Below are 26,539 nucleotides of genomic sequence, written 5' to 3' on the forward strand. Positions count from 1 at the left end.
CCCCGCCAACGCTCGCCGGGGTCGCCCGAGGCCTGAGCCAAGGGGGACGCTGTGGGCGCGGCTCAGGCCAGGCCCTCAGGTTAGTGGGTCCCCGCTGTCCCCGCGCTTCGGCCCGTCCTCTCGCGCTATGCTCTCCTGATGAACGCCCCGCGAGCGGAGTCACCCCCGCCAGCGAGGAGACTCGCTGCCTTGACTGGGGCCCTGGTCCCGGGACAGGCGAGCAGGAAGGGATGGAAGGGACGGAAGCGCGGGCGGGACCAGGAGAAGCCCATCCCCGCGCTATGCGTCCCCAGAGCCACTGGGACCCGCGGCTCCAGCCAGCCCTGCAGGGGCGAGCTGGACCGGGGGACCAGGGCGCCGGGCCGACGACTCCTGGGTGAGGCCTGGCTCCTGCCGGCAGGGGGCGCAGGGCCGCCTGGGCTCCTGGGTGCGGGTGCCGGAGGGCGGGAGAGACCGCAGGTCCGGAGACGGGGTGCTGAGCTGGGTACCCAACTGTGTATTCCTAGGCTCTTTCAGACGCTTCCATTTAAGAGATCCGTTTAACTTATGCAGCCAGCGGGTGCTTGTGTAAAAAATCGCAGGCCCTTCTGAGACAGGCACAGCCGCGAAAGGGTCTCCTTGCCCCTTGGCTCGCAGAGGGCGTCGGTGTTCGGCGCTCAGTCTTCTGCGTGTTTTCCCCGTGCTCGCGTTCTGAGATGGAAACTGTTCCACGTGCACTGAGATGCAGCTCGGTCTTTCTAACAGCTTCGTAATTATTTAATCATGTGGATTAACTTCATCCGAGGAATTCAATCCTCCACTGATGAGCCTACACTTCTATTACAAATAATACTGCAGCAAACCACCTTTGGATTAATATTTGTGTCGGATCAATTTTTAAAAGTTGAATTGTATGTGTAGTTAAACTTTTATAGGTATCTTCAAATCAAAATTTAAAATTATATTTTAATAACATTTTAATTTCTTATCTAAAAGGCACTAATTGTTTAAAAATATGGGATTAAGATTTAAATGTGCGGTGGAAAGCACCTGAAAAAAATAAACACAAGGTAATAGAATCAAAGCTCAGTTGTGGACCAGAGCAGATCAAATCACAGTAAATAAGCTCTCAGAGGTGTTTTAAATATTCTGCTTAGCTAGAATTACCAACTTCTTGACAACTTTGTAACTACCCCCATTGAACTTAATTTTGATATCTTAGTTTTTTAATTCAGAGCTGACAGATTACATATGCAATCTAAGGTACACAGGTGTACGCAGGGATTTGAGGGGATTTTATATGTTCAAAGCTTTCAATGCTTTTGAATTATACGTTTAAGTACTAATAATGTATAACACAAAATGTAAGAAGATCGAAGAGTGCTTCAAAATTGTGACCTGGCAATTTTGCATAATTATTTTCATACCTAGTTTTCCGCCAATAGATCTAAGATCCTTCATGGTGGAGTTGCGAACGCACAGAAATTTTCCTAATACACTTCAAAAATTAATAGTGATGATTTTTTACCTTGCCGCTTTTTAGTTGAAGAAAAATGTTAGTCTTTTTTATTGCTTCATGTGTTCAGGAAGCCTGCGGATTATTTAGTAAACATCCGTAAACTACAACATGGAAGAAAAAAAGGATATCATTAATTTTACTGTTAATTTTTTTTAAAGGTTTTAGACCGTGGCATTTCATGAAAAACCTTCTCAATTATAATCAAAATTTGGAAACTATGTGCCGTGGTTCACACATATACTCCCTGCACTTTGGGAGGCTGAGTTGATGGGATTGCTTGAGGCCAGGAATTTGAAACTAGCCTGGGCAACATAGCTAGGCCCTATCTCTACAAAAAAACAAAATTAGCCAGGCGTGGTGGCATGTGCCTGTGCACCTAGCTGCTCTACGCCGGAGGCTGAGGTAGGAGAATTCTGCTTGAGCCCAGGAGCTGGAGGCTGCAGTGAGCTATGATTGCACCACTGCACTCCAACGTTGGTGACAAGGCAAGACCTTCTCTCAAAAAAGAGAAATATCATAATGTGGCGTTCAATTAATTTAGCTTTCTGAATCAACAAGCATTTATTTGCAATATTCTATATGTCATATAACAGGTAGAGAGAGCATTGACTTTGAAACAGGTTTCAATGTTCAATTTGTTACTTACCAGCTATGGGACTTTAGGTGAATTACAGTTATGTATTGCTTAATGATAGGGGTAAGTTCTGAGAAAGGTGTCCTCCTCAAGCAATTTTGTTATTGTGTGAATATCTTAGCGTTTACTTACAAAAACCTAGATGGTATAGCCTACTACACACCTCAGGTATATATAGTACAGTCTATTGCTTCAAGGCTGCAAACCTGTATACAGCATGTTACTGCAGTGAATACGGTAGACAACTGTAACACAAGGGTATTTGTGTATCTAAACACAGAAAAGATACGGAAAAAAATCTGGTATAATTCCATGGATCCACGTCATATATACAGTTACCCTGTTGAGTGAAATGTTATGTGGCCTATGGCTGTACTTACACCACTCTGAGCTTTATTTTCAGCTAAGAAAAAGGGGATATTGTCTACCAGGTAGCATAACATTCAGAATTAAATGAAATCACATATTTAAAGCACTTAGCACTGTGGCCAAGCAAATAAGGGAAGACAAAATAAATGTAAGTTTTCTTCCCCCATGTGCAAGACTTTGTACTTAGGTGAGGGTCACGATCCGGAAGGCAGACAGACAGACACTCATTACTGCCTGCACAGTGTCATTAACTGTTGTAAGAGAAGTACATTAATGATCACATTCCCTGTATTCCCCTAGAGCTTTCTTCATACCTCATGCTGACCTGGCATATAAAATTGCATTTCCTTTTCTCAAAGACACATACAACAACTCTGCTACTGACGCTGAGGCACAATGACAAAATTTATTTTTGCCAAGGCTCTACGTTTATCAGTGTTGTAGAAAGGATAAGACTTGCATGTGAAATGATTTAGACAAGAAGTTTCTAAAGCTTGGTCTTCTGTAATTAGGCCACAAGAAAAACATACTGAAGCATAATAGAATGGCTCACAACTGTTTTTGCACATATACTTTAATACTTAGGCTTGGGTAAAATCATTTTAAATAACATATTAAAATATGTTTGGGGGGACAACCCAGCAATTGCACAGCCCACTAGAAAATTTTAACATCTAAGTAATATAACTGTTTTAGGGTCTGAAAGTTCTCCTTCAGTTGTTCCACAGCCTCTTTATCAACTAGGCAAATATATTTAAGCTTTTAAATTTCATAATGTTGGTATTTTTTAAAAGGCACGGGAGGTTCACTTAATATTAAATATATAACATTCACTTTCATAACCAAAACCTTTTTGGCAAGTGACTTTCACATAGATTATGAGATTCTCTACATGCCTTAAAATAAATCTGGCAGCTCTTAACTCATATCTAAATTCTCTGGACAACTGTCTTGCTCTCTGTTTTGGGGCCAGGGGCGTAGCAGTGAAGGCCCTAACAGGCTTGCTGACCTAATTGGACAGTTTGTTAAATAGCAGGAAATGTAACAAGGCTTCTCTCTCTCTTGCATGTTAATGTAGTGAACAGTGCTAATAGCCAGAGATTGTGCAATTTAGTCACAATATTTCAAGCCAAAATTCAGTGTTCTTATATTAAAAGATACCGAAGAAAGCTATCCTTGTTCTTTGAATTATAAAAGCACAGAGGTTGCAATGATCAGAACCAAACTGGTTAAAAGCCGAAATGCATCCTTTCAGTATTGATTTGACAGATGCCAACAAGCATTCAAAAATTTAGAGTTAATTTCTTGGTGACAGGTAGCATAAAATTGATCAGACTGGTTTCAGCTGTATCATAAGCTTCACAAATTGGAGATCTTGTCCTTCCTGGCTGTTTTTTTTTTTTTCCCACACCTTAATTCTAGCACCTGTTGTCAGACCACTGTTCAGCACCAAAAGAACTCCTCAGCCTGGAGTTCTTTGGAGTTTTAAGTGATTGCCTAACTCAGCAGGGGACAGTGGTCTTGACTTCTTGGTTGACGGTTTAAAAACATAAAAGAATTTTATATTTTAAAACTGACAAACTAGAAAATGTTAGAAACTCTATCTGAAGGCAGAAAGTATAAAGTTGGTGGGTACCTGATAAAACATGATGTATGTAAATACAGTTCAAAACAATTTAAAAGTATAAATATTTGTCAATTATTTTTCCTCCAGTGCTCTGGCTATTGCTGAAAACACCTTCTAGTTCCACCTTGTAACTGGACTCCCAAAAGATGAATGCTGACATCTTCTGATGCTTAACAAGAAATAAAAATAGTCACCTTAATCATCAAAAAGGTAATTGCAAAGGGCACTGTTGCCTGAAATTCTCTAGTCACCTGAAAACTGAAATAACTGAGGCAAGACTTCTTAAAATGCTTAGTTTCAAACTTAAACAGAATGGCCTGATAATGATCAAACATGTACAGAGAAATACATGAAATCAGAATTGTGAATGCAGAGAAATAACTGTTTTGCTAGTTTAAAAGTCTGAAGCTTTTCCCTCCTCCCCAGCTGTTAATGTAGGAGACACACAGCCTAACCAGGACAGTCTCAATGCCCAGGAATGGTTGTGTGATGACTGATAAAGCAGAAATTTCTTGCCTATTAATAGTTTCCCACTGTTAGAAGGCTACAGCCGTTGGCAATCAGATGTGGGCTCAGGTTTTCCTTATCCTGGGGCAGGAATGCCTGGAGGGACCACGATGTGGGTCACACTGTACATTCTGTTTACTGTGGGCACAAACACAGAACTTTTTTTTTTTAGCTTATTAAATCGAGAATATTCCTGAGGAGGCATCCGCTATGGGCTAAAGGTCCCAACATCACAATAATAAATAACAGCTATGTTTACAGAGACACATTCAGGACACATGCAAAAGCTTTTCCTAGCAGGAGGACTTGGGCCTTTGCAAAACAAGCTGCTTGGGCCTCCCCAGAGGGCCCACCCTCCCATGCACCTACCCCACCACCCTGCCCCAACTCATTACACAACTCGGCCTTCTGGCCACCTGAGGCTACTTTTTAGACCAAGTGACTCAGACGTTTCAAGTAGAAGACAGGATGGGCCACTGCCAGGGGACCTTGCAGCAGAAAATTAGGTCAGAGGACTTGGAGGGTGGTGAAGAACAACCAGATAGATGTGAGAGCCCAGCAGGGAAATGACAGGAGGCGCAGCTTAGGTGTGGAGGCTCCAGGTGGCCGGTCCCCGCGCGGCTCAGATGAAGTGGATCCAGCTCTCTTCGCACTCCCCGCGAGGCATGTGCAGCGCGTGGTTGCGACATGTGAGGCTGTAGTCTCGGTGGTCGTTGTTGTCCCAGTACTCGGCACCCGCCACTTGGTAGCGCACCGCGAAGTGCACGCGGGAGCCGAGCTCCAGCAGGAAGGGCGGTACTGGAAAGCCGAAGGTGAAAACGTCCTCCGTGCCCTCGGGGCCTGCGGGCCCGCGCCACCGCGCCACCGCCTCGTGGGTACTGCGCCAGCCCGAGAAAGTGTAGCGCACAGCCACCTGCTTCTCGAAGGCCACGTTGCACACGCGCACCGTACCGCTGATGCCAAGGTCCGAGCAAGTGACACGCTCCAGGCACACGAGCTGCCGCTGCAGGCGCTCGCCAAAGTCGGCGGCCTCGACGGGCGGCGGGAAATCGGGCACCAGGCAATGCAGGGTGAACTCCAGGTCCTGGCTGCTGCAGCACAGGTCCGAGTTGATTGCGAGCCGCGACAGCACGTGCAGCGGCACGGACGGGTCGTCTCCCGCGTTGAACACCTTGACCTGTGCCAGCTCCAAGCCCAGGGCGTCGGCGAAGCGCACGCGGAGCTTCTGGCTGCAGCCCGGCCGACACGCAGCGCCCGGCGCGCCCGCGGCCTTCTGGCGGCGCTCGGGGGAGCTGGGCAGTGAGCGCGCCCGCCGCAGGATGATGGGCCGCAGGCGGGGGTCGCAGCCCGACGGCGCTGGCGTTGGCGGCGGCGCGCGGCCCGGGCTCCCAGGGGGCCTACAGGCCCGCGGCTCCAGGGCCACGCCGCCGTCCAGGTCCGACAGGCAGCTGAGGCTCCGGGGGCCGAGCTTCCGGGATCCCAGGGCGCTAGGCAGGACCGCGGAGCTCGGGCCTCTGGACATGGCCCCGCCGGCCGTCGGAAGATGAGGCAGGGATGAGAGACGACCTCCCGACCCCGCGACAGCTCCCTCCGTGCTCAGAAGCCGCAGAGAGTCCACCGTATCTGCAACCTGCGGGGGACCTCTCGGGCCCGGTGCGCCCTACCCTTGGTTCGCCACCTTGCTCCTCGAGTCCTTGTCCAGGTCCTCCGCTTCTTGCGGTTAAAGAAATTGTAAGAGTGGGGAGTTTTTCTCTAGTGGAAGCTTTCAGAGGCCTCCCGGGAGCGCAGGGTAGCGCCTCTTTTTTCTTCTTGCTTCCTTGGAGGTTCTTACAAGAAGGCTGCGTTCCGGGAGCGGCCCCTCCCACTTTCCCGGTCCGCGGCGTTACTTACAAGGCTGCAACTTGACCGGGTGCAACTTCCTAGCGAGCCTCCGCCCCGCCCCTCGTGACGCCGCCTGCAGGCGGGCCCCCGCCGGCCTCAGCTCAGCCAGGGAGCTCAGCGGAGCTGCGCGCCTCCGCCTCCAGCTCCCCTGCCGCAGCGCGCCGCAGCCGGGCGTCCCCGCGCGGGCGCCGGAGAGGAAGGAAGGCTGGCAGCCTCGTCACGTGTCCGCTGCAGTCGCGAAACAGGTCTGATCAATTTCTGTTTACGTCTGCCTGGATTGCGCGCCTATCGATCATAGACTTTGTCTGCACAAACGGAGGACAAGGAAAATGCATGCTGCGTGTCCTTAGATTTCTGGGTTGTGGATGGGGGGAGCGGTGGTGCAAAAACCGGCCTTGCCAGGAGCTGGTCTCAGGCTAATTTTAAACATCGAGGCCAGCCCACACTTTGGACAGGTTCACTGCAACCTGGACCCTTGGTCAGACCGAGGGAGCCTCACTGCGTAGAGGAGCAGCGTCATGTCCACATCACCCAGAATGCTTTGCCGCACCGAATGGCCAGCAGATTCCCTTGAGGGTGGGGAGGGGAGGTGCTGCTGTTGTCTTCCTGGACTCCGCGCCAGAGAGGAAGACAGGGGAACAAGAGTTATTACCCGCTGATGACTTCTGCAGCTGCCCTTAATCAGCCTCTGGCGCTTGGGGAGCATATTTGTAGCCAGAATCTCCGACTTTTAGCTTTGTTTCCAAGCAAGCCAGAAACACCAGCAAGGCCTGGAGCTTGTTTTCTGCCTATTTAGAACCCTGCAGGCATTCGTGTCTCTCACCCGGTAGCTTTGAGCACAAAACCCCACAGCCTTTGGTGTAAAGCATACCAGGTGAAATGAAGTAGAAAAGATGCAAGTGCACTTTCCAGAGAGCAGTTTGGGGCCAGCCATTCCATTAAGAAGGTTCCTTTTTATTGTCCAGAGGGACAAAGCAGAAAGAAAACCAGACTAATGAAAGGGGGTTGATTCAAGAACATTCGTTGCATCTAAAATGAGTCAAGGCTGTTGATTGTGGTATAATTCATGAAATGTGAGAGAATGATTTTATTTATCATTGGATGTAAGCTAACTAAAAAGGCTTACATGATTAATGTGGGAAAAATACAGGAAAGTTTCAGGAAGAAAATAAAAATCTTCTATAATCATCTCTTTTATTTTACAGAGACAGGTGATACGGGAAAGAGAAGTATCCAATTTCCATTCAGTGCACTTTTAATAGGCCACTCAAAATGAGAGGGGAATAACAGCAATATGTGGTATAGGTCAACAATGCTTCATAAAGAGATGATATATAATATGTAATATGTATGAATATATGGAAAGTCTTATAATGGATTGATGTGATAGAGAAGGCCGAAAAATTGAATGGGAACGTTCCTCCTAGAGTTTAAGCTCCTTCTGAACAGGGACGTGCATAATCATTGCCATTTTTCTGGGTACTCCTGTAATTATTTGTTGCATGAATGAATGATTGGGCAATGCAATGATTGAACGCTGTAATAAGACCTGACCTTATTTAGCCTTCCAGATTTCTTCAACATATTATTTCCAAGGAAGATTATACCTGTGTGTGAACAGGGAGAGAGAGAGAGAGATGGAATCCATTCACAGTATTTATAGTAGTGTGATCCTGTGATCCTGTCTCTAATATCTACTGTAATAAGCAGAAAAGACAAAGCTGTAAGCATAAGACAATGTCTCCCTTCCCCAGTATTTCATAACCTAGAGTGCAAACCACTATATGATCACAGCCTTAATATTTCAATATTATACAAGTATTAAAAAACAAGTGAAAAACCAACCCGATACTGGTGGTAGGACCATTTGCAATCAATAGTTACTGACAGTATTCTGTTGCTTCTAGTTCCGGTGGTGAGGAGACCTTTCCAAATATAAGAGGAATAAAGAAGTCACCTCCCCAGCTGTCATCATCTTCCAGCAGATTGAGCAAGAATATTTTGAGCACTACAGGAAAGGTAATGTAAACTTAGAAGAAAAATCTGACTTAGATTTATTCTGGGATTTTTGTTTGTTTGCTTGCTTGTTTCTTGTGTACATGTTCACAGTGTTTATTACTGCATCCCTGTTTTTAGACAGTCCATCAAACCCGAGATGATGATCAGCCACGTGATTTTTTCAAGAAGAGGAATAGGGTGAATGAATCTCATCAGAAAAGCAGGTAAATAGTTTTAGTATAATTGCTTTATCTTGCAAAAGACTCATTATCTCTGTTGTCCAGATTGAATATGTGGAGTGGGGAAAAAAGTATGTCTATAGATAAGAAATATACATTTATAATTTTTTTCTAGCAGAAATGAATAGAAAAGTGGTTTAAGCATAATAGTGGATAAGGATTCCAACGGTCATAATTCTGGCAGTTGTTAGCAGAATTATAATTTTGAGTAAGTCCTTTAATCACTTTTCTATGTTAGTTTCCTTTTATATAAAAGGATAGTGACAATAATTAATTTTTATGGATGCATACTGACAGGCAGGAACAAAATGTTTTAACAGTGTTATGAATTCTGAATAATGGAGATTCCTTCATTTCTTCATTTATTCAACATTTATTGAGCACACGTTGTACTATTGGCAATGATTTAATGTCCTGCATATTTATTAATTAAAATGTAGCACGTATTCAAATAGTTGCTTAGGTTGTTTGAAACCACTGGGCAAATGAACCTCTGAAGTTTCCAGAAAGCATGTTTACCACCCATTTCTATTCATTCTATCTGACTTATATTACAGAGAAGTATTATTAATCTTAAATGCCACGTTCTTGGTAAATAAATTGAAAAGAGGATATTTTCAACTCTGATGTGAGATTCAGCATCAGAATAAATTATGCCAGAGAGAATTAGTTTCTATACTCATAATGCACACAGTATTCATTATTCCCTTTACCTGCTATTCACAAGGTAACACTAAGACCCTGTGTTTTCATTCATATGTGTTACAGGGCACCATATGATTTTATTTCTGTTCTTTAAACACAATTTTCCCAAATGTGTTTTCTGTTTGAAAACATTGTAACAAGCTTTTGATTTAAGGTACAGGTTTGTATGTGCAATACTTTTATATATTAAAATTTCACTCAGCTCAGAATCGCCACCAATCAGTGATTAAACTGCAAAACTTGCATGTTTATTTGATATTTACACTTAATTTAAAATAGGTGTATAAAATAAAACTGTTTTTACTTCTGAATGTTATTAAATGCTTTTGATGGTAACAATTCCAGAGTTCTACGACTGATTTTTTCCAAACTAATGTTTTTTTTTTAAAGTACACACGAAAGTATGAAACAAGCACTTTGAGAAATGTTAATGTTTTTCCTAAATGCTAATATTTGATATAAAATGGAAACTGTGCATTCTCTTTTGTCACATGCATTATATAATGTATCTCAAATAGAGTATTATATGGGAAAATGTTCTGTAAAATTACTTATGCTTTAAGGAGTTTGGAAGCTGACATTTTCTAATGCCTACTAATAGCTGAGACAAAAAAAAGTACAACTAGAAGATTCTTTTTGTTTGTTTAATTATAGCCAGACCATTTTTTGTCATATGTGGTAAGAATTGCAGTTTTATTTTCTCACAGCAATATGAATGCTGGCCCATCTTGGAATAAAGTGCAACATTCAAAGAATTCTTCAGGAAAAAGGCAGAGTAAATCCCAAGTACCCCACGCTTCTTCCCAGCCGAGAAGCAGCCTCACAGCTGTCACCCAGCCTACTGAAGAAAAACTTAAAGAAAGCATTTCCCCGGAAGCAAGACGCAAAAGGAATCCACTCGGTTCCAGGTGTCAGGGGGCCTCAGGGAATAAACTGTTTCTTGATTTTCAGTCAATGAAAATTATTAAAGAGAATGCTGATGAGGACAGTGCAAGTGATCTCTCTGATTCGGAAAGAATTCCCATTCCTCCTTCTCCCCTCACACCTCCAGATCTCAATCTTCGAGCTGAAGAAATTGATCCAGTTTACTTTGATCTTCACCCTGGTCAGGGCCATACAAAACCTGAATACTATTATCCTAATTTCCTTCCATCCCCTTTCAGCTCCTGGGACCTACGAGATATGGCCCTGCTTCTGAACGCAGAGAACAAAACGGAAGCCGTGCCCCGAGTGGGAGGACTTCTTGGGAAGTATATCGATAGACTTATTCAGCTTGAGTGGCTGCAAGTCCAGACTGTACAGTGTGAAAAAGCAAAGGGGGGCAAAGCAAGGCCCCCCACTGCCCCTGGGACCTCAGGGGCACTGAAAAGCCCTGGGAGAAGTAAGCTAATTGCTAGTGCTCTGTCCAAGCCACTACCTCACCAGGAAGGGGCTTCAAAGTCAGGCCCTTCCCGAAAGAAAGCTTTTCACCATGAAGAAATCCACCCATCACATTATGCATTTGAGACTTCCCCTAGACCCATTGATGTGCTTGGTGGTACCAGGTTTTGTTCTCAGAGGCAAACCCTTGAAATGAGGACAGAAGAAAAGAAAAAGAAATCAAGTAAGAGTACGAAGCTGCAGCGCTGGGATCTGTCCGGCAGTGGAAGCAGCTCTAAGGTGGAAACCAGCGGTCACATTCGAGTTCCCAAACAGGCAGCTGTGATTCTGGACTCAGCAGATTCCTGTAAGGCCTCCAAAACACAAGCACATGCACATCCTAGGAAAAAGGGAAAGGCAGAGAGCTGTGGTCATGCCACTGTATCGAGTGAGAAAAAACTGAAAACAAACGGAGTAAAGCAAAACACATATAAACTAAAATAAATATCTAAAATGCTGAATTGCCAAGACCTGCAGGTACCTCAATGTTAGAGCGCTTCCAAAAGTCAAAATACTGTGAATTTTAAGGAATTTTACAAATACTGACATTTAAGTAGTTGACTGGCATTTTTGTCCACCTTTATTTCTACCCTGAGTGGGGTTATTTTCAAAGGGAAGTGTCTTTCAATAAGCCTTTCTTTGTATTGTCAGTCTTAGGCAAATGAGAGCCCTTTAGATAAAAATTATGTAAAATATGTGCCATATAAAGGAATAAAATGGCACCTCTCCAGGGAAAGTGTCAGTGAAACCTCAGCTACAGTAGCCGGTCTGTGTAGAGCAGCTAGTGGTGTTACCTCCCCATTTTCACATGCACGTAAGTATATGAAATAGTGCAGACTGTTTCAAATGGTGTGGAATCCTAAATGTTTAAAATAAGGTCCTTCTTGCCCACTCCCTCGCTTACTTTTTTATAAACTCCTCAAGCAAAATTTCTGTTCATTTTACCCTTAGGAGAAGCTTTAGTTCTTCCTCAAGTCAGGGAGTAGTGAGTTTGTATTTTGAGTAGTCATTTCTCACTAAGCTGGTTGCTTTCTAGAGAGACAGTGGAATCTAGTACTTTAATACATTTTCTCTGACATGGTTTTTTTTTTCTTTTTTGAGGGGCATTTTAAACTTAGAGGTGGTGGTAAAACCTACTTTTGAGTTCTCCGAACTGAGGTTAAAATAACTTGCAGAATTTTCCAAAGTCAATGGGCTTAGCATGATTACTGCTGTTTGGTGGGGCTGAGAATGAAATATTTGACATTCTGGAATTGCTGGCATGTAAAGCTTCTCCAGAGAGGCACCCCAGGGAAATCACTCTTTACAATTTGTAAAGGAAGGGCCTGTAAAAGGATCAAAACACATGGACCTACATTCAGTGTAATAGTTACAAAGTTACTGATTTGGGTTCCACACCCTGTGGTCCTTAGTCAAAAATAATGATCTGTTTCAGTTTGCAAGAGCAGGATTTTATTATTTTGCTTGGGGTGAGGGGCGGGAGAGTGGAATATGAGTAAGGTTGCTGAATGAATTCTAAACTCGCTTATCTGGTCTTCAGGCTTCCCAACTCTCTCCAAGCCTTCTTATTTCACTGCAGTTAAATAACATCTTCTTGTTCCTATAGTTGTGCTGTGAGTTTTCTGTTCATATTTGCGCAGTGTATTTTAATACGGCCCATGTCATTATAGTTGATTTTATCCCTTTAAACAATTACTGTATTTGTTTTTGACGTAGAGGTTTCAATTTTTTCACCTTGGGGGCAAATGAAAAACTTGGCATTTTTCATTTGGGAACATATAATAGCTTGTAAACTTTTCAGACAGCAGTAAATGTCTGAAAAAATATCAAAAACAGCATAAAGACAAGATTATGTAGCTCTAATTATACGTATATAATTATAAAAAACAATGTGCAAGGGTTATATTTTAAGGTCTTTTAAAATCTGATTTTGATCATACCAAATGACATAATATTTTTTATGGTAGCCTTTTACTTTCAAGACTTAATTTTCAGACTTGTACAAGTTCCTTCTTACATTCTTTCCCTCTCACACCATCCTACTGGAGAAAGCATACTTTTATGCTAAGATCTTACTTTAAGCTTTTTATGTGAACAAAAGATGTACATATAGTAAGTATTACTTCCGTAGTCCTCAAATTTACTATAACTTTTGTACTTAGTATATGTTTTATATTTGGAAAACAGCACTACGCTTAGTTTTCCTGTAGTTCCTGAGTGATGTCTGTGTGTTCCTTGCCTGCCCTTTTTTGTGAGCACAGATTAGTCTGTTATCCATGGCTGGCACTTCACTTATGATCCTTTCTCTGCTAGATTTTTATGCAGCTCTCTATGAAGTTTCATGGCCCATAGATATTCAAAAGCAAGATATTCTATACATATGTGTATATGTATATATACTCCTTATGTTAATACTAAAGTGTTTATGCTGAGTTGCTGCCTTTCCCCGTCATGTATCCATGTGCATGCTCTTAGAGACCTTGAATGGTTGAGGGTAAAGTGATTTATTAGTAATTCTACTTGCCTTGTGTATGTCTGAGCTGAAAACAATCGTGATTAAGAAATTTAGAGGTGGCTGGGCGTGGTGGCTCACGCCTGTAATCCCAGCACTTTGGGAGGCCGAGGCAGGCGGATCACCTGAGGTCGGGAGTTCAAGACCAGCCTGACCAACATGGAGAAACCCTGTCTCCACTAAAAATACAAAATTAGCCGGGTGTGGTGGTGCATGCCTGTAATCCCAGCTACTCGGAAGTTTGAGACGAGAATCTCTTGAACCCGGGAGGCGGAGGTTGTGGTGAGCCAAGATCGTGCCATTGCACTCCAGCCTGGGCAACAAGAGGGAAACTCCGTTTCAAAAAAAAAAGAAAAAGAAAGAAATTGAGAAGTAACGCCTCATAATATTTGTTCCCAGCTTTTTAAATTGAAGCTGGTTGCATAATCTGGGGAATAGTCATAATTTCATGTGTTATACAGTTTAAAAAGCCTGCAAAAGTGACTTTGCTTGTTTACTTTCTGCCTCAGATTGACTATTTTAACCAATATTGTCACGACTAGATCATAGCTCCTAGTGAATAACATGAGGTGTTTTAAAGTTAGGTCTATTACAGAATTAACATAAGCACAATTTTAATTTTATGATATCTGATATGCCTATCTAATACATCTTAATGCATTAAATGCTGCAGATAAGAATCTTGCTATTTTTCAAGTAGACAACATTAGAAAGTTGAATCATGAACTCATTCAATTCATCAAGTCAAAAGCACTGAGTGTTTTGCTAGTCTAGTGACATGGGTTATTGTATTTCCGAGAAGTGCCTCTCATTTCTGGGGAGTTGTTTACATATACCCTGCATTTAAACCAATTAAAACAATCCAAGTTTCTTTAAAAAAAAAAAGAAAAAGAAAAAGAAAAAGAAAAATATTTTAGGCTTAGAATTATCTAATGGAAAAAATGTAAAAAAGTACAAAAATGAACTAAAAGTATATCAGTATTTGCAGTATTTGCTGTGATTACTTAGGTTTAGACTTTCTCAACTTCTTAGATGACTAAATGGGCTGAAGACTTGTAACTAACTTGAATAGGATAGACTTCATACCCTGTGACAAAAAGGATGGGGAAGAGAATATCATTGGTCTTGCCATATACCTCCTAGCTAAAAGGAAAATGGTTTGTAGTTGTTCTTGGGCCTACTGTGTTGCTTTTCAGAAGGACATAAGACTTTCTACTTTATCTGATATGGATATCGTCTACTTCCTCATTCCTTTATGCTCACTTATGGAGTAGTTACATAGAAATATAACTCTTGGTGGTACTGTATTTTAAGGTAATTCAGAAGCAGTATGTATTATTTATGTACATGTACAGGACACCATTCAAAATGGCTTGAAAATATTCAGCATGTTTGTTATTTGCTGTTATATTGTATGTTTAGTTTTGTATGTGATAAACAGAATTGATGTAAGTTTTTGTGGACTTGAATTTCTCCTTCCTTGAGATCAATTAAACAGCAGAAAAATATTGTCTGGATTTTTCTGGTATTGTTTTGTTTTGCTTTTCATGCAGTTCTCTTCTGAAGCTTGCCTTTATTTTCTCCCTGGTTATTTAAAGGAATTGCCCAGGATGAAATGCTGTTACAACTCCTGTCTTAACACTAAGCGACATGGGTGGCCAAAGCACAGGTTAACATTACCGGATATATCAGAGAAGCATTGCAGTACATTTCTTGAGTCGCTCTTCCACTTACTACTCCATGTTGAGGATTAATTAGGGTAGCAGGATGCAAATTCAGTAAGCATAAATTAAGGTAACCTGTGATGTAATGAACTTGCACCTTTATGTACATATCCGGAAACGAGTACCATCTCTTTCAAGGAAGTGGCCTGGTTAGGAGATAGCAGTTTTGAGCAGCTCCAGCTGCAAACATTCTCAAAAGCCCTTTGCTCTTCTTTCTAACTTCACTCTGACAATAGGGTGCATTCTTTTGAGTCTACCAAATTGTGGCAGTAATGTTCAGTGGCTTAAAAAGTAAGTTTTTGGATATGTTTTGAAAATTAACCACGCTGGAGGTTTAAAATCTTTTTTTTTTTTTTTTTTGTACAGGAAATGTATTATTTTGGGCTGTTGCTGTTTTATTATCCACAAGGTGGCGACCAAACCCTTTCAGATAGCAGTGAATTTGGCCTGTGAGTACCTTCTAGTCAAATAAAAAGGTTTTTACTGGAATCAAAAAGAAATGGAGAGAAAAAGACTTTTTGACTTCAGGCCCAAAGCATGTTCTTTATTTAACTTCACTCTGCCATCAGAGAATACAGTGGTTTATCATATGCAGTTAGGTGCTGTGGAGGATTCTCTTTGATTCATTGAACAGTCTCACATCATAAAACACTGTATCCAGCATAGAATCGTCCTCAATGAAGTAACATAAATCATCAATTTATAAAAATCTTCACAGAGATCCCTGTTTCATAAAATGCAATTTGAATATTTTTGTCTTCAGCAATTTAATGTATAAGGAATTACTGTAATAATACTGGAAAATATATATGGAATTAAAAATGGAATAGTCATAAATAATTGCCCTAGCTTAAATGAGATTTTAGAGCAAACAAATAACACATATTTAACTTTAGATTACATTAAGCGAGGACAATTTCATGTGAGCTCCTCCCTAGACCTACTGAGTCAAAGTCTGCATTTTAACAAAATCCTTGGCACATTAAAGTTTGAGAAATCTGCTTTCCTGGTACTTAAGTCTGCAAGTTTGAGTGACTACCTTTATGGTGGGTGAGTAGCTGGTAGGCCCTCTCCCCCTCAAGCAAGCCATTTGCTTATCTAGCCCTATTTTCTCCGTAGTTTAAAGGCACTGGGCTGGCTGCTTACCTAACAGGTTGCCTAAATGAATGATTCACGGCCTCTGATAAAATCTGCTCCACAAGTGAATGCTAAGGAGTTGAAGTTTATTTATTTATTTTTTTCAATAGCTTTTAGGGTACAAGCGGTTTTTTGTTACATGGATAAATTATATAGAGATGAATTCTGAGATGTTAGTGCACCTGTCACCCGAGTAGTGTACATTGTACGTCATGTGCAGTTTTTTATCGCCAGCCTCCCTCCCAACTTTCCCCTACTGAGTCTCTAAAGTCCATATGTCACTCTGTATGCCCTTGCATATTCATAGCTTAGCTCCCACTTCTAAGTGAAAACATAAAGATTTGGGTTTACCACTCCTATGTTACTTCAGTTAGAATAATGAGGTCAGGAGTTCGAGACAAGCCTGGCCAACAAGGCGAAACCCTGTCTCTACCAAAAGTGCAAAAATTAGCCAGGCATGGTAGCATGCGCCTGTAATCCCAGCTACCCAGGAGGCTGAGGCAGGAGAATCCTGGAACCCGGGATGCAGAGGCTGCAGTGAGCTGAGATCGTGCCACTGCACTCCAGCCTGGGTGACAGAGCAAGACTCTGTCTCAAATAATAATAATAATAATAATAATGACCTCCAGCTCCATCCAAGGTTTTGCAAAAGACATTGTTTAGCTCCCTTTAATGGCTGAGTAGTATTCCACAGTATACTATATATATGTGCGTGTGTGAGTGTGTGTACATATATATCACATTTTCTTTATCCACTCAGTTGATGGGCACTTAGGTTGGTTCCACATCTTTACAATTGCGAATTGTGCTGCTATAAATATACGTGTGCAAGTGTCTTTTTCATATAATGACTTCTTTTTCCTTTGGGTATGTGTTAGTCTGTTCTCATGCTGCTATAAAGAAATACCCAAGCCTGGGTAATTTATAAAGAAAAGAGGTTTAACTGACTCACAGTTCCACATGACTGAGGAGGCCTCAGGAACCTTACAATCATGGCGGAGGGCACCGCTTCACAGGGCGGCAGGAGGGAGAATGAGAGCTGAGTGAAGGGGGAAGCCCCTTATAAAACCATCAGATCTCAGGAGAACTCACTCACTATCAGGAGAACAGCATGCGAACCACCCCCATGATCTAATCACCTCCCAAGAGGTCCCTCCCATGACATGTGGGGATTATGGGGACTATAATTCAAGATGAGATTTGGCTGGGGGCACAGCCAAACTGTACCAGGGCAGATACCCAATAGTGGGATTGCTGGATCAAATGGTAGATCTACTTTTAGCTCCTTAAGGAATCTCCATATGTTTTCCATAGAGGTTGTACTGATTTACATTCCCATCCGCAGTGTACAAGCATTCTTTTTTCCCCACATCCATGTCAATATCTATTGTTTCTTGAGTTTTTAATAATGGTCAGTTTTACAGAATTAAGGTGGTATCTCACTGTGGTTTTAGTTTGCATTTCCCTGATGATTGGTGATGTTCAGCACTTTTTTCACGTTTTTCTTGGCCATTTGTGTATCTTCTTTTGAGAACTGTCTACTCATGTCCTTTGCCTACTTCTTAATGAGATTACTTAGTTTTTTCTTGCTGATTTGTTTGTGTTACTTGTAGATTCTACATACTATTCCTTTTGTCAGATGTGTAGTTTGCAAATATTTCCTCCCATTCTGGGGTTGTCTGTTTACTCTGCTGATTATTTCTTTTGCTGTGCAGAAGCTTTTTAGTTCAATTAGGTTCCATTTATTTATTTTTATTTTTGTTGCATTTGCTTTTTGGGTCTTAGTCATGAATTCTTTGCCTAAGCCAGCGTCTAGAAGAATTTTTCCAATGTTGTCTTCTAGAATTTTTATTGTTTCAGGAAACTGGCAAGCCACATGTAAAGGAACGAAACTGGATCCCTATCTGTCACCTTATACAAAAACCAACTCAGGATGGATCAAAGACTTAAAATATAAGCGTTCGGGCTTCTTAGATCACCTAACCACCTCATCTGATTTTCCTTACATTCAGACTCCTAGATTTTCAAACTCCAGGTGTGGAACACTCACTCGACTTCCCTTGTCTCTTTCCTTTCACTCACTTGGTCATTTTGTCCAGGATTAGAAGAGTGTTCACCATCTGTCAGCAAGCTTTTCCTCTAAACCCATCTCTTGAGATACTCTGCCTAAATAAAGCAAGGAGAAAGAAAAGGAAGTCTTTGCTTTTCTCGCGTGGTGTTTTCAGTTTTCTAAATGCTGGAATGAAATGCTTTTTATTTGTAGAATTTATATAATATTGAAATAGCTTAACAAGTTTAATTGAAGATGTTCTGATTTTTTAAAGTATATATGTTCACCTTAACAGAACAGTTTTTGATGCAGGAAGATAAAAACAGCTGTTTAAATCTTCCCCTTTACTTTCCTTTCCTTCATTTTCTCCTTTCCTAAAGAAGCATAAACAATTTATGTCAGGGGTGTCCATTCTTTTGGCTTCCCTGGGCCATACTGGAAGAATAATTGTCTTGGGCCACACATAAAGTACACTAACACTAACAATAGCTGTTAAGCTAAAACAAAAAATGCAAAAAAAATTATAATGTTTTAAGAAATTTTATGAATTTATGTTGGGCCGCTTTCAAAGCTGTCCTGGGCCACAGGTTGAACAAGCTTGATTTACAAACATAAATGATAGAAGAAAGAGCATGGCGATTCATACCACTAGTATGATTAGCATTGGAATATACTTGCAAAAAGTGAAAATGCCTTCAATAAGTTATATCTGGCAGCGTTTTTGTTTGTTTTTCTAATTGCATATCTGCAACTACATATTAGTTAAAAAAATTGGGGCAAGAGATTAAAATCTCTCCAAGATAATTTTCTGGCCAGCTCTTAGTGGCTGACAAGATACCAAAACCTAAGTTTCAGTATGCACGCTCAAATCAACCCATGTGATTAGTAATCAGAATTGAAAAAATTCTTAGTCCTTGAAAAAAATCCAGAAACACAAATGATGGATTATTTTATTCTAATATGAAATCTAATGAACTTCAGCTCTTAATATATGTGACAAGATATTGGGGTACAACTAGAGATACACTATCAGGTATTGGGTAAAACTACACTTAATAATGATGAATGCATCATGAGGGCATCCCCGCCTGGCTTGGGCTTCTGCTTGGACAGTGGTCTGGCTGGTCAGGCCCCATGCCCAGCTGAAAGGAAGAGAACCGAGGTGGACAGCAGGACTGAGGGAAGATGACAAACACACTGGACTCTACCTGCATTTGGCATTTCCCATATGGATCAAGTAAACAACAGAGAAGTAAAGTGCTGATGGAGTTTTCCTTGATGGAGTCAAATTCACCTTCTGGTTTTTTCCCAATATTGCATTATAAATTTTTTCAGGCCAGGCACGGTGGCTTACACCTGTAATCCCAGCACTTTGGGAGGCCGAGACAGGTGGATCACCTCAGGTCAGGGGTTTGAGACCAGCCTGGCCAACATGGTGAAACCCCATCTCTACCAAAAATACAAAAATTAACTGGGCATGATGGCACATGCCTGTAATCCCAGCTACTCAGGAGGCTGAGGCAGGAGAATCGCTTGAACCCGGAAGGCAAAGGTTGCAGTGAGCCGAGATTATGCCATTGCACTCCAGCCTAGGTGACAGAGTGAGATTCTGTCTCAAAAAAAAAAAAAAAAAATCAAACATATACGAAAGTGGAAAGAGCTTCACAGTGAATACCCGCATGCTTACTCTCATAACCAGACAGTTGCCACCTGGCTGTGTCTACTCTGTCCATCCGTCTAGCCACCTAGCAGTCCCAGCTGTGGCCTATTCCAGGCATCAGTATCCTTCCAGCTTCTGCCTGCCATGCTCACCCTCCAGGGCCTCCACTGTGGGTAGCTGTTTTATACTATATATATATATATATATATATATATATATATATATATATATATATATATATATATATAGAGAGAGAGAGAGAGAGAGAGAGAGAGAGAGAGAGAGAGAGAGAGAGAGAGAGAGAGAAAGAGACAGAGTTTCACTCTTGTTGCCCAGGATGGAGTGCGATGGCTTGATTTCGGCTCACTGCAACCTCCACCTCAGCGATTCTCCTGCCTCAGCCTCCCAAGTAGCTGGCCATGTGTCACCACACCTGGCTAATTTTTTTGTATTTTTAGTAGAGACAGGGGTTCACCATGTTGGCCAGGCTGGTCTCAAACTCCTGACCTCAGGTGATCCACCTGCCTCAGCCTCCCAAAGTGCTGGGATTATAGACATGAGCCACTGCGCCCAGCCCTGTTTTATATTATGTTAATAGCTGCTATGTCTATGGCAGAGTTGAACCTACTTCACCACTACTGGAAGCAGAACTCTTCCCTGATTATTTTAAAAACCCTTCTCAAGAGTGTTCTGAGAAATTAAACTTTTCTTGTGACTATGAAGAAACGGGAATTGAATTCAGAAGTATTGGCTGGAAAATTATTTTTGTGTTAGTGAATATAGAAAGGTCTTGACTCAGGGGACATATAAGCATGAGCCATTTTATTCTTCCTTAATCTGAGCCTTCAACCAAACCATTTCAATCCCTCAGTTACAACTGGGGCTCATCATTACCCAGTCACGTCAGTCAGTAAAACCAGCCCAGCTTAAAACTTCGATGTCAGCCTTGATGGAAATCTAATCTCTTCCATCCACCCTGGGTGGGCTGGACTCCCAGGTGGGTGTGTGGGCAGGGGAGGCTTGGGCAGCCCCTCCTCACCTTCCAACCCAGCACTGAGATCCTAAGGCATGGTGGTGCTTTGCTGTTGGGACACCTCTGCTCCCTCCCTCTTCCAGGCTCTGCCTCCCCTAGCGTTGGTGACAGAAAGAGAGACTAAGGGAAAGCCTAAGGCCTGTCCTCTGTAACAGGCCACTCTCCCAGCCTTTCACTGCGGCTGGCTCACCTCTGCAGAGGAGGCATCGAATGCCAGCCTTCTCACCTCCCCAGCCAGGAAAGAAGGCTTGAGCCTAGCGCTTTACTTCTCTGGTGTTTACTTGATCCATATGGAAAATGCCAAAGGTAGGCAGAGTCAGGTGCATTTGTCATCTTCCCTCAGTCCCACTGTCCACCTAAGTTCCCCTCCTTTCAGCTGGGCATGAGGCCTGGCCAGCCAGACCACTGTCCACGCAGAAATCCAAGCCGGGTGGGGATGCCTCATGATGCAATCATCATTACTAAAAAAAGAACAGTGAGAACTGGAGGTGGCTGGGGGCACTCCTCAAAAACATGAGAAGGTTGACCCTGGGTAGGTAATTGTAGCTCATACCTCCCTTGCAATCAAGTAACTTTTATCTCATGAGCAATCTCATTTCTTCACTTGTCAGCTTACAGGGAGCTGGGAGCTGCCACCATGTGGCTATAAAGTATTACTGTACTTCCAAGGACACAGAAAGGAGCGCTAGACTATTGTCACTATGATCACATGCTCAGAATAGAAAGGGAGTGGGGACATCTTCAAGCTCAGGCTCACCCAAGATGTGCAGCAGGTGATGCCCAGAATCACCAGCTGAGTTCCAGGCCCCGTGGCCTACCCAAGTAGGGTTGCCGTGTGGGGAACTGGCATTCTGCTTAGTTATTTTAAACGCTTGAGAATGTTGAAAACTTGTTTGTTTCTAATATATTAAAATACCAGTTCCTATGGTGTTTTTTGTTTTGTTTTGTTTTGAGATGGAGTTTCACTCTTGTTGCCTAAGGCTGGAGTGCAATGATGTGATCTCAGCTCACTGCAACCTCCGCCTCCCGGGTTCAAGGGATTCCCCTGCCTCAGCCTCCGGAGTAGTTGGGATTACAGGTGTGTGCCACCATGCCCGGCTAATTTTAAAATACCAATTTCTTTTAAACTTAAAACGAATGTGAAAGTGGAATCCTTCACTGTTGTCCCCCAGCTCCGCCCAGACTAGAACATTGTGAGGCTAATGCCTTTCTAGCAACAATATTTTAGTCCCCAGCGCTATTCTAGCAGCAGGGAGTGCTCAACTGACGTGGTTTTTTCACATATATTTAACATGGTTTAGCTCACCTGACTTATATATTCTAAATTAGTGATTCTAACTTAATCAGTTTTTTAAAAATAGGCTATCATTATAGAAATATCCACTTTGAAAATAGGCACAAGGTATTCAGTTTCTCTTTATGCACAGGAAATATCTATAGACTTTAAAGTTGTATTTATTATTCTTTTCAATAATAAGCTATTAATTTCAATAAAAATAAACTATTCAAATTAAAATATTCAGCAGCATCTCAGAGCTATGAATGTTCAGTTAAGCAAAGAAAGTTTTTTTTTTTTAATTGGGAGATTTTTATTTTATATTTTATTTTTGATGAGTTCTTTTTTATTTTTATTTTTTAATTTTATTTTTCCATAAGTTATTGGGGTACAGGTGGCATATTGGTTACATGAGTAAGTTTTTCAGTGGAGATTTGTGAGATCCTGGTGCACCCATCACCCAAGCAGTATACACTGCACCATATTTGTTGTCTTTTATCCCTCACCCTCTTCCCACTCTTCCCCCCAATTCCCCAAAGTCCATTGTATGATTCTTATGCCTTTGTGTCCTCATAGCTTAGCTCCCACAAATCAGTGAGAATATACAATGTTTGATTTTCCATTCCTGAGTTACTTCATTTAGAATAATAGTCTCCAATCTCATCCAGGTCACTGCAAATGCTGTTAATTCATTCCTTTTTATGGCTGAGTAGTATTCCATCATATATATCTGTATATACACATATATATACATATATATGTGTATATATATGTGTATGTATATATATACATATATGTGTGTATATATGTGTATGTATATATATACATATATGTGTGTATATATGTATGTATATATGTGTATATATGTACATACACATATATACACATATATGTGTATATATACATATATGCGTGTATATATGTACATACACATATATACACACATATATGTGTATATATGTACATACACATATATACACGCATATATGTGTATATATACATATAGATACGCATATACACATTTTCTTTATCCACTAGTTGATTGATGGGCATTTGGGTTGGTTCCACGATTTTGCAATTGTGAATTTTGCTGCTATAAACGTGCATGTGCAAGTATCTTTTTCGAATAATGACTTCTTTTCCTCTGGGAAGATACCCAGTAGTGGGATTGCTGGATCAAATGGTAGTTCTACTTTTGTTCTTTAAGGAATCTCCACACTGTTTTCCATAGCAGCTGTACTATGTTATATTCCCCCCAGCAGTGTAGAAGTGTTCCCTGATTGTCACATCCACACCAACGTCTACTGTTTTTTGATTTTTTGATTATGGTCATTCTTGCAGGAGTAAGGTGGTATCGCACTGCGGTTTTGATTTGCGTTTTGCTGATCATTGGTGATGTTGAGCATTTTTTCATATGCTTGTTGACCATTTGTATATCTTCTTTTGAGAATTGTCTATTCATGTCCTTATCCCACTTTTTGATGGGATTGTTTTTTTCTTACTGATTTGTTGGAGTTCATTGTGGATTCTGGATATTAATCCTTTGTCAGATGTATAGATTGTGAAGATTTTCTCCCACTCTGTGGGTTGTCTGTTTACTCTGCTGACTGTTCCTTTTGCAGTGCAAAAGCTCTTTAGTTTAATTAGGTCCCAGCTATTTATCTTTGATTTTATTGCATTTGCTTTTTGGTTCTTGGTCATGAAATCCTTGCCTAAGCCAATATCTAGAACAAGCAAAGAAAGTTTACCTTTTATTTTATCTGTTTACTACTTTAAACAAGGTAATGTGATAAAAAGGTCATGTTAAGGTAATCAGGGTTAATGTATCACAGATTGTGTTTTAAAACTTGCTTACTGCAACCTTAAGTATTGGTATAATATAATCTCAAATTGTCTCTTTCAGAATTCTCATGCAAAGACTCCCGGGTTGCCACAGAGATCCCTGTCCATAGGGAGGCTCTTTCCCATCTCTCCTCCCTCCCACTTTAATTCCAAACTCAAAAAGGCAGATTAATCTAAGCTTAAAAAAGGTTTTAGTAGAAATAATTTGAAAACCCCAGAGCCCTGGGATATTGTTGGAATAACGATTTTTAGTGCTTTGGAAAGTAAAAGTTGATTTTTCTTTTCTTTCATTCTTCCCCATCCCTTCCCCCTTAATAAAGTTATCATTCTTGTCATTTTCTAGTTTTTTTTGTTTGGTTCAAGAGGATAAGATTATAGAAAATAGTCACTAACATATCCTGCTATAGAAAGAGATGATTGGACCTTCTATTTGGAAACCAGAACAAACAAGGAAACAAAGAAACAAATAATTCTGCTTTCCGATAGGTGCTGGTTTTACTTCCGCTGGCTGAGCTGTTGTTCCTGAGGTCAGACCCCAGCCAGTCTTTTGTGTACGTGCAGGACCATGGTGGCTTTAGTTTCTACCCCACCCTTCCTAGGAACTCTACTTGTGGCAAACGTATGTTCAAGCTTACAAGTCAGCCCACCCCACTCTGATAAATGCAAGAAAAGCTGAAAAGGGAGGAGCAAGATGGGATGAAAGCATCTGGGCCAAAGTGACCTGAAAACCTTTAGAGAAGAAGCTGCTGGCTGAGAAGGAGGTGTGTGGCTCCGGTGAGACCACCAGCTTGGAGGACTGGTCATCAGCTGCACGTTCTGGGTCTGTCTTGGGTATTCCCATATGGCCATGAGATCCGGGAGGCACCCCTCGCTGCTGCTGCTTCTAGTGCTGCTGCTGTGGCTGCTGCAGGTAAGCTGAGCCTGCAGCCTAGTGCTCAGGTGCAGGGAACTGAAAGCAAAGCACAAGCTGGCCCTGCCCCTTCTAGGCTAAGGGAGGGGAGAGGGACTGAGTGTGACCTGCTGGGACCCAGGGCTGGCTGTCTTGAGAATGGCTTAGGTAGCAGGGGCTCTGGATTTATATAAAGGGAAGTTAAGGGTCCCAGTCTGTTTGGGGCAACAGTGGGAGCAGGCTAAGGGACCTGTTTAAAACTAATTTATATAGTTCACACTATTTTTAGTGAGATTACATCAACACACACGTGTTTTCTTTCTTTGTTTCTTTCTCCTTTTGTTGAGACAGGGTCTGGCTTCATCATCCAGGCTGGAGTGCAGTGGCATGATCAAGGCTCACTGCAGCTTTAACCTCCCAGGCTCAGGTGATCCTTCCACCTCAGCCTCAAGAGTAGCTGGGACTACAGTAACTTACCACCACGCTGGCTAATTTCTGTATTTTTTATAGAGATGGATTTTCACCATGTTGCCCAGGCTGGTCTCGAACTCCTAAGCTCAAGTGATTTATTCGCCTTGCCCTTCCGAAGTGTTGGGTTTACAGGCATGAGCCACCTCACCCAGCCAACACACACAATTTTTTTTTTTTTTTGAGACAGGGTCTCGTCATCCAGGCTACAGTGCGTGGTGACATCTCAGTGCACCGCAACCTCCTCCTACTGGGTTCAAGCAACCTCCTGGCTCAGCCTCCCGAGTACTGGGACTACAGGTGCACGCCACCATGCCCGGCTAGTTTTTGTATTTTTATTAGAGACAGGGTTTCACCATGTTGGCCAGGCTGGTCTCAAACTCCTGACCTCAAGTGATCTGCCTGCCTCAGCCTCCCAAAGTGTTAGGATGACAGGCTTGAGACACTGCGCCCTGCCAAGTTTTATAATGATACTTCTGTTCACACTTTACATAAGATTGAGGAAATCTCAGTTGTCTGGATCCAAGGCAATTTGAGCAAACCCATGGGGATGGAATGGCTAAATCCATTGCCCCCAACTGCCACTGTTTAAATGGGAATACAAACTAGTGGAGTCAGGATTCGAAACACATGGGCTTGCTCTGTTTGTACTTAGAGTGGACAGAGGTAATGTTGCATGCGCTTGTTGGTTATGATCTGCTTCGTTGGCTTTCTGTAGGTAGGGAGAGGGAATCATTTCTTCCTTTGAATACCAGCTGAGGGTGGGAAGCAGCCCAGTGGCTGGTAACTGTGAGCTCTGGACTGGGCTGCTTGGCGTCCTGACCTAGGCTCCTTCACAGCCCGCTGGGGACCTAGGCCAGCTTAACTTTGTTCCTTACCTTGGATCAAGTTGAACTTACCTAGGGAGCTTCAAGGGATCTCAGTGCCTGGGTTTTGCCCCCAAAGGTTCAGGTTGAGCTGACCTGGGAGTGCACTGGGTGTCAGTGCACTGGTTTTAACATAACCTTGTTAAGCCTATTTTTCTTCACCTGAAAATGGAGCTAGTAACTGAATTTATCTGAGCCAGTGGTT

General features: G+C 42.1%; 3 protein-coding genes across 6 annotated transcripts in view, besides 6 other annotated features; 2 read left to right on the plus strand and 1 right to left on the minus strand.

Annotated features, from left to right (window-relative positions):
- FAM217B (family with sequence similarity 217 member B) lies at positions 5 to 14,906 on the plus strand. Of its 3 annotated transcripts, NM_001190826.2 has the most exons (5): positions 5 to 79; positions 4,216 to 4,338; positions 8,424 to 8,535; positions 8,653 to 8,738; positions 10,166 to 14,906. In NM_001190826.2, exon 5 carries the CDS (start codon positions 10,170 to 10,172, stop codon positions 11,319 to 11,321), a length of 1,152 nt encoding a protein of 383 aa, NP_001177755.1. In that variant the 5' UTR covers positions 5 to 79; positions 4,216 to 4,338; positions 8,424 to 8,535; positions 8,653 to 8,738; positions 10,166 to 10,169; the 3' UTR covers positions 11,322 to 14,906. The 3 variants fall into 3 exon arrangements, with proteins under 3 accessions (NP_001177755.1, NP_071389.1, NP_001177756.1); NM_022106.3 differs by lacking the exons at positions 5 to 79; positions 4,216 to 4,338 and adding an exon at positions 6,615 to 6,761; NM_001190827.2 differs by lacking the exons at positions 5 to 79; positions 4,216 to 4,338 and adding an exon at positions 6,615 to 6,761 and having other exon boundaries at positions 10,622 to 14,906.
- Positions 154 to 553: a silencer, noted in NCBI's record as "silent region_13090". NCBI's record gives its function as "represses an Ori minimal core promoter by ATAC-STARR-seq in GM12878 lymphoblastoid cells {active_cell/tissue: GM12878}" and the evidence as "EXISTENCE:reporter gene assay evidence [ECO:0000049][PMID:35858748]".
- PPP1R3D (protein phosphatase 1 regulatory subunit 3D) lies at positions 2,889 to 6,531 on the minus strand. Its single transcript, NM_006242.4, has one exon. The coding sequence runs from the start codon at positions 6,155 to 6,157 to the stop codon at positions 5,258 to 5,260; it is 900 nt and encodes a 299-aa protein (NP_006233.1). The 5' UTR covers positions 6,158 to 6,531; the 3' UTR covers positions 2,889 to 5,257.
- Positions 5,993 to 6,122: a silencer, noted in NCBI's record as "silent region_13091". NCBI's record gives its function as "represses an Ori minimal core promoter by ATAC-STARR-seq in GM12878 lymphoblastoid cells {active_cell/tissue: GM12878}" and the evidence as "EXISTENCE:reporter gene assay evidence [ECO:0000049][PMID:35858748]".
- Positions 6,420 to 6,714: an enhancer, noted in NCBI's record as "tiled region #25; K562 Activating DNase unmatched - State 1:Tss". NCBI's record gives its function as "activates a minimal TATA promoter and a strong SV40 promoter by Sharpr-MPRA in K562 cells {active_cell/tissue: K562}" and the evidence as "EXISTENCE:reporter gene assay evidence [ECO:0000049][PMID:27701403]".
- Positions 6,420 to 6,852: a biological region, named in NCBI's record as "Sharpr-MPRA regulatory region 25".
- Positions 6,473 to 6,852: a silencer, noted in NCBI's record as "silent region_13092". NCBI's record gives its function as "represses an Ori minimal core promoter by ATAC-STARR-seq in GM12878 lymphoblastoid cells {active_cell/tissue: GM12878}" and the evidence as "EXISTENCE:reporter gene assay evidence [ECO:0000049][PMID:35858748]".
- Positions 20,690 to 21,191: an enhancer, noted in NCBI's record as "H3K27ac hESC enhancer chr20:58529519-58530020 (GRCh37/hg19 assembly coordinates)". NCBI's record gives its function as "activates a minimal SCP1, AML or CMV promoter by ChIP-STARR-seq in primed H9 embryonic stem cells {active_cell/tissue: H9 hESC(primed)}" and the evidence as "EXISTENCE:reporter gene assay evidence [ECO:0000049][PMID:30033119]".
- CDH26 (cadherin 26) overlaps positions 24,649 to 26,539 on the plus strand; it is a 77,512-nt gene continuing 75,621 nt past the window's right edge. For both annotated transcript variants that reach the window (NR_145482.2, NM_177980.4), the window contains exon 1: positions 24,649 to 25,021. Coding sequence is in view for 1 of the 2 variants with exons in the window: in NM_177980.4 (NP_817089.1) it covers positions 24,953 to 25,021 (69 nt within the window). In the remaining variant the exon portion in view is untranslated. The remainder of the gene's footprint in view (positions 25,022 to 26,539) is intronic.

This window comes from Homo sapiens, chromosome 20 (genome assembly GCF_000001405.40).
Source record: "Homo sapiens chromosome 20, GRCh38.p14 Primary Assembly".
NCBI lineage: Eukaryota > Metazoa > Chordata > Mammalia > Primates > Hominidae > Homo > Homo sapiens.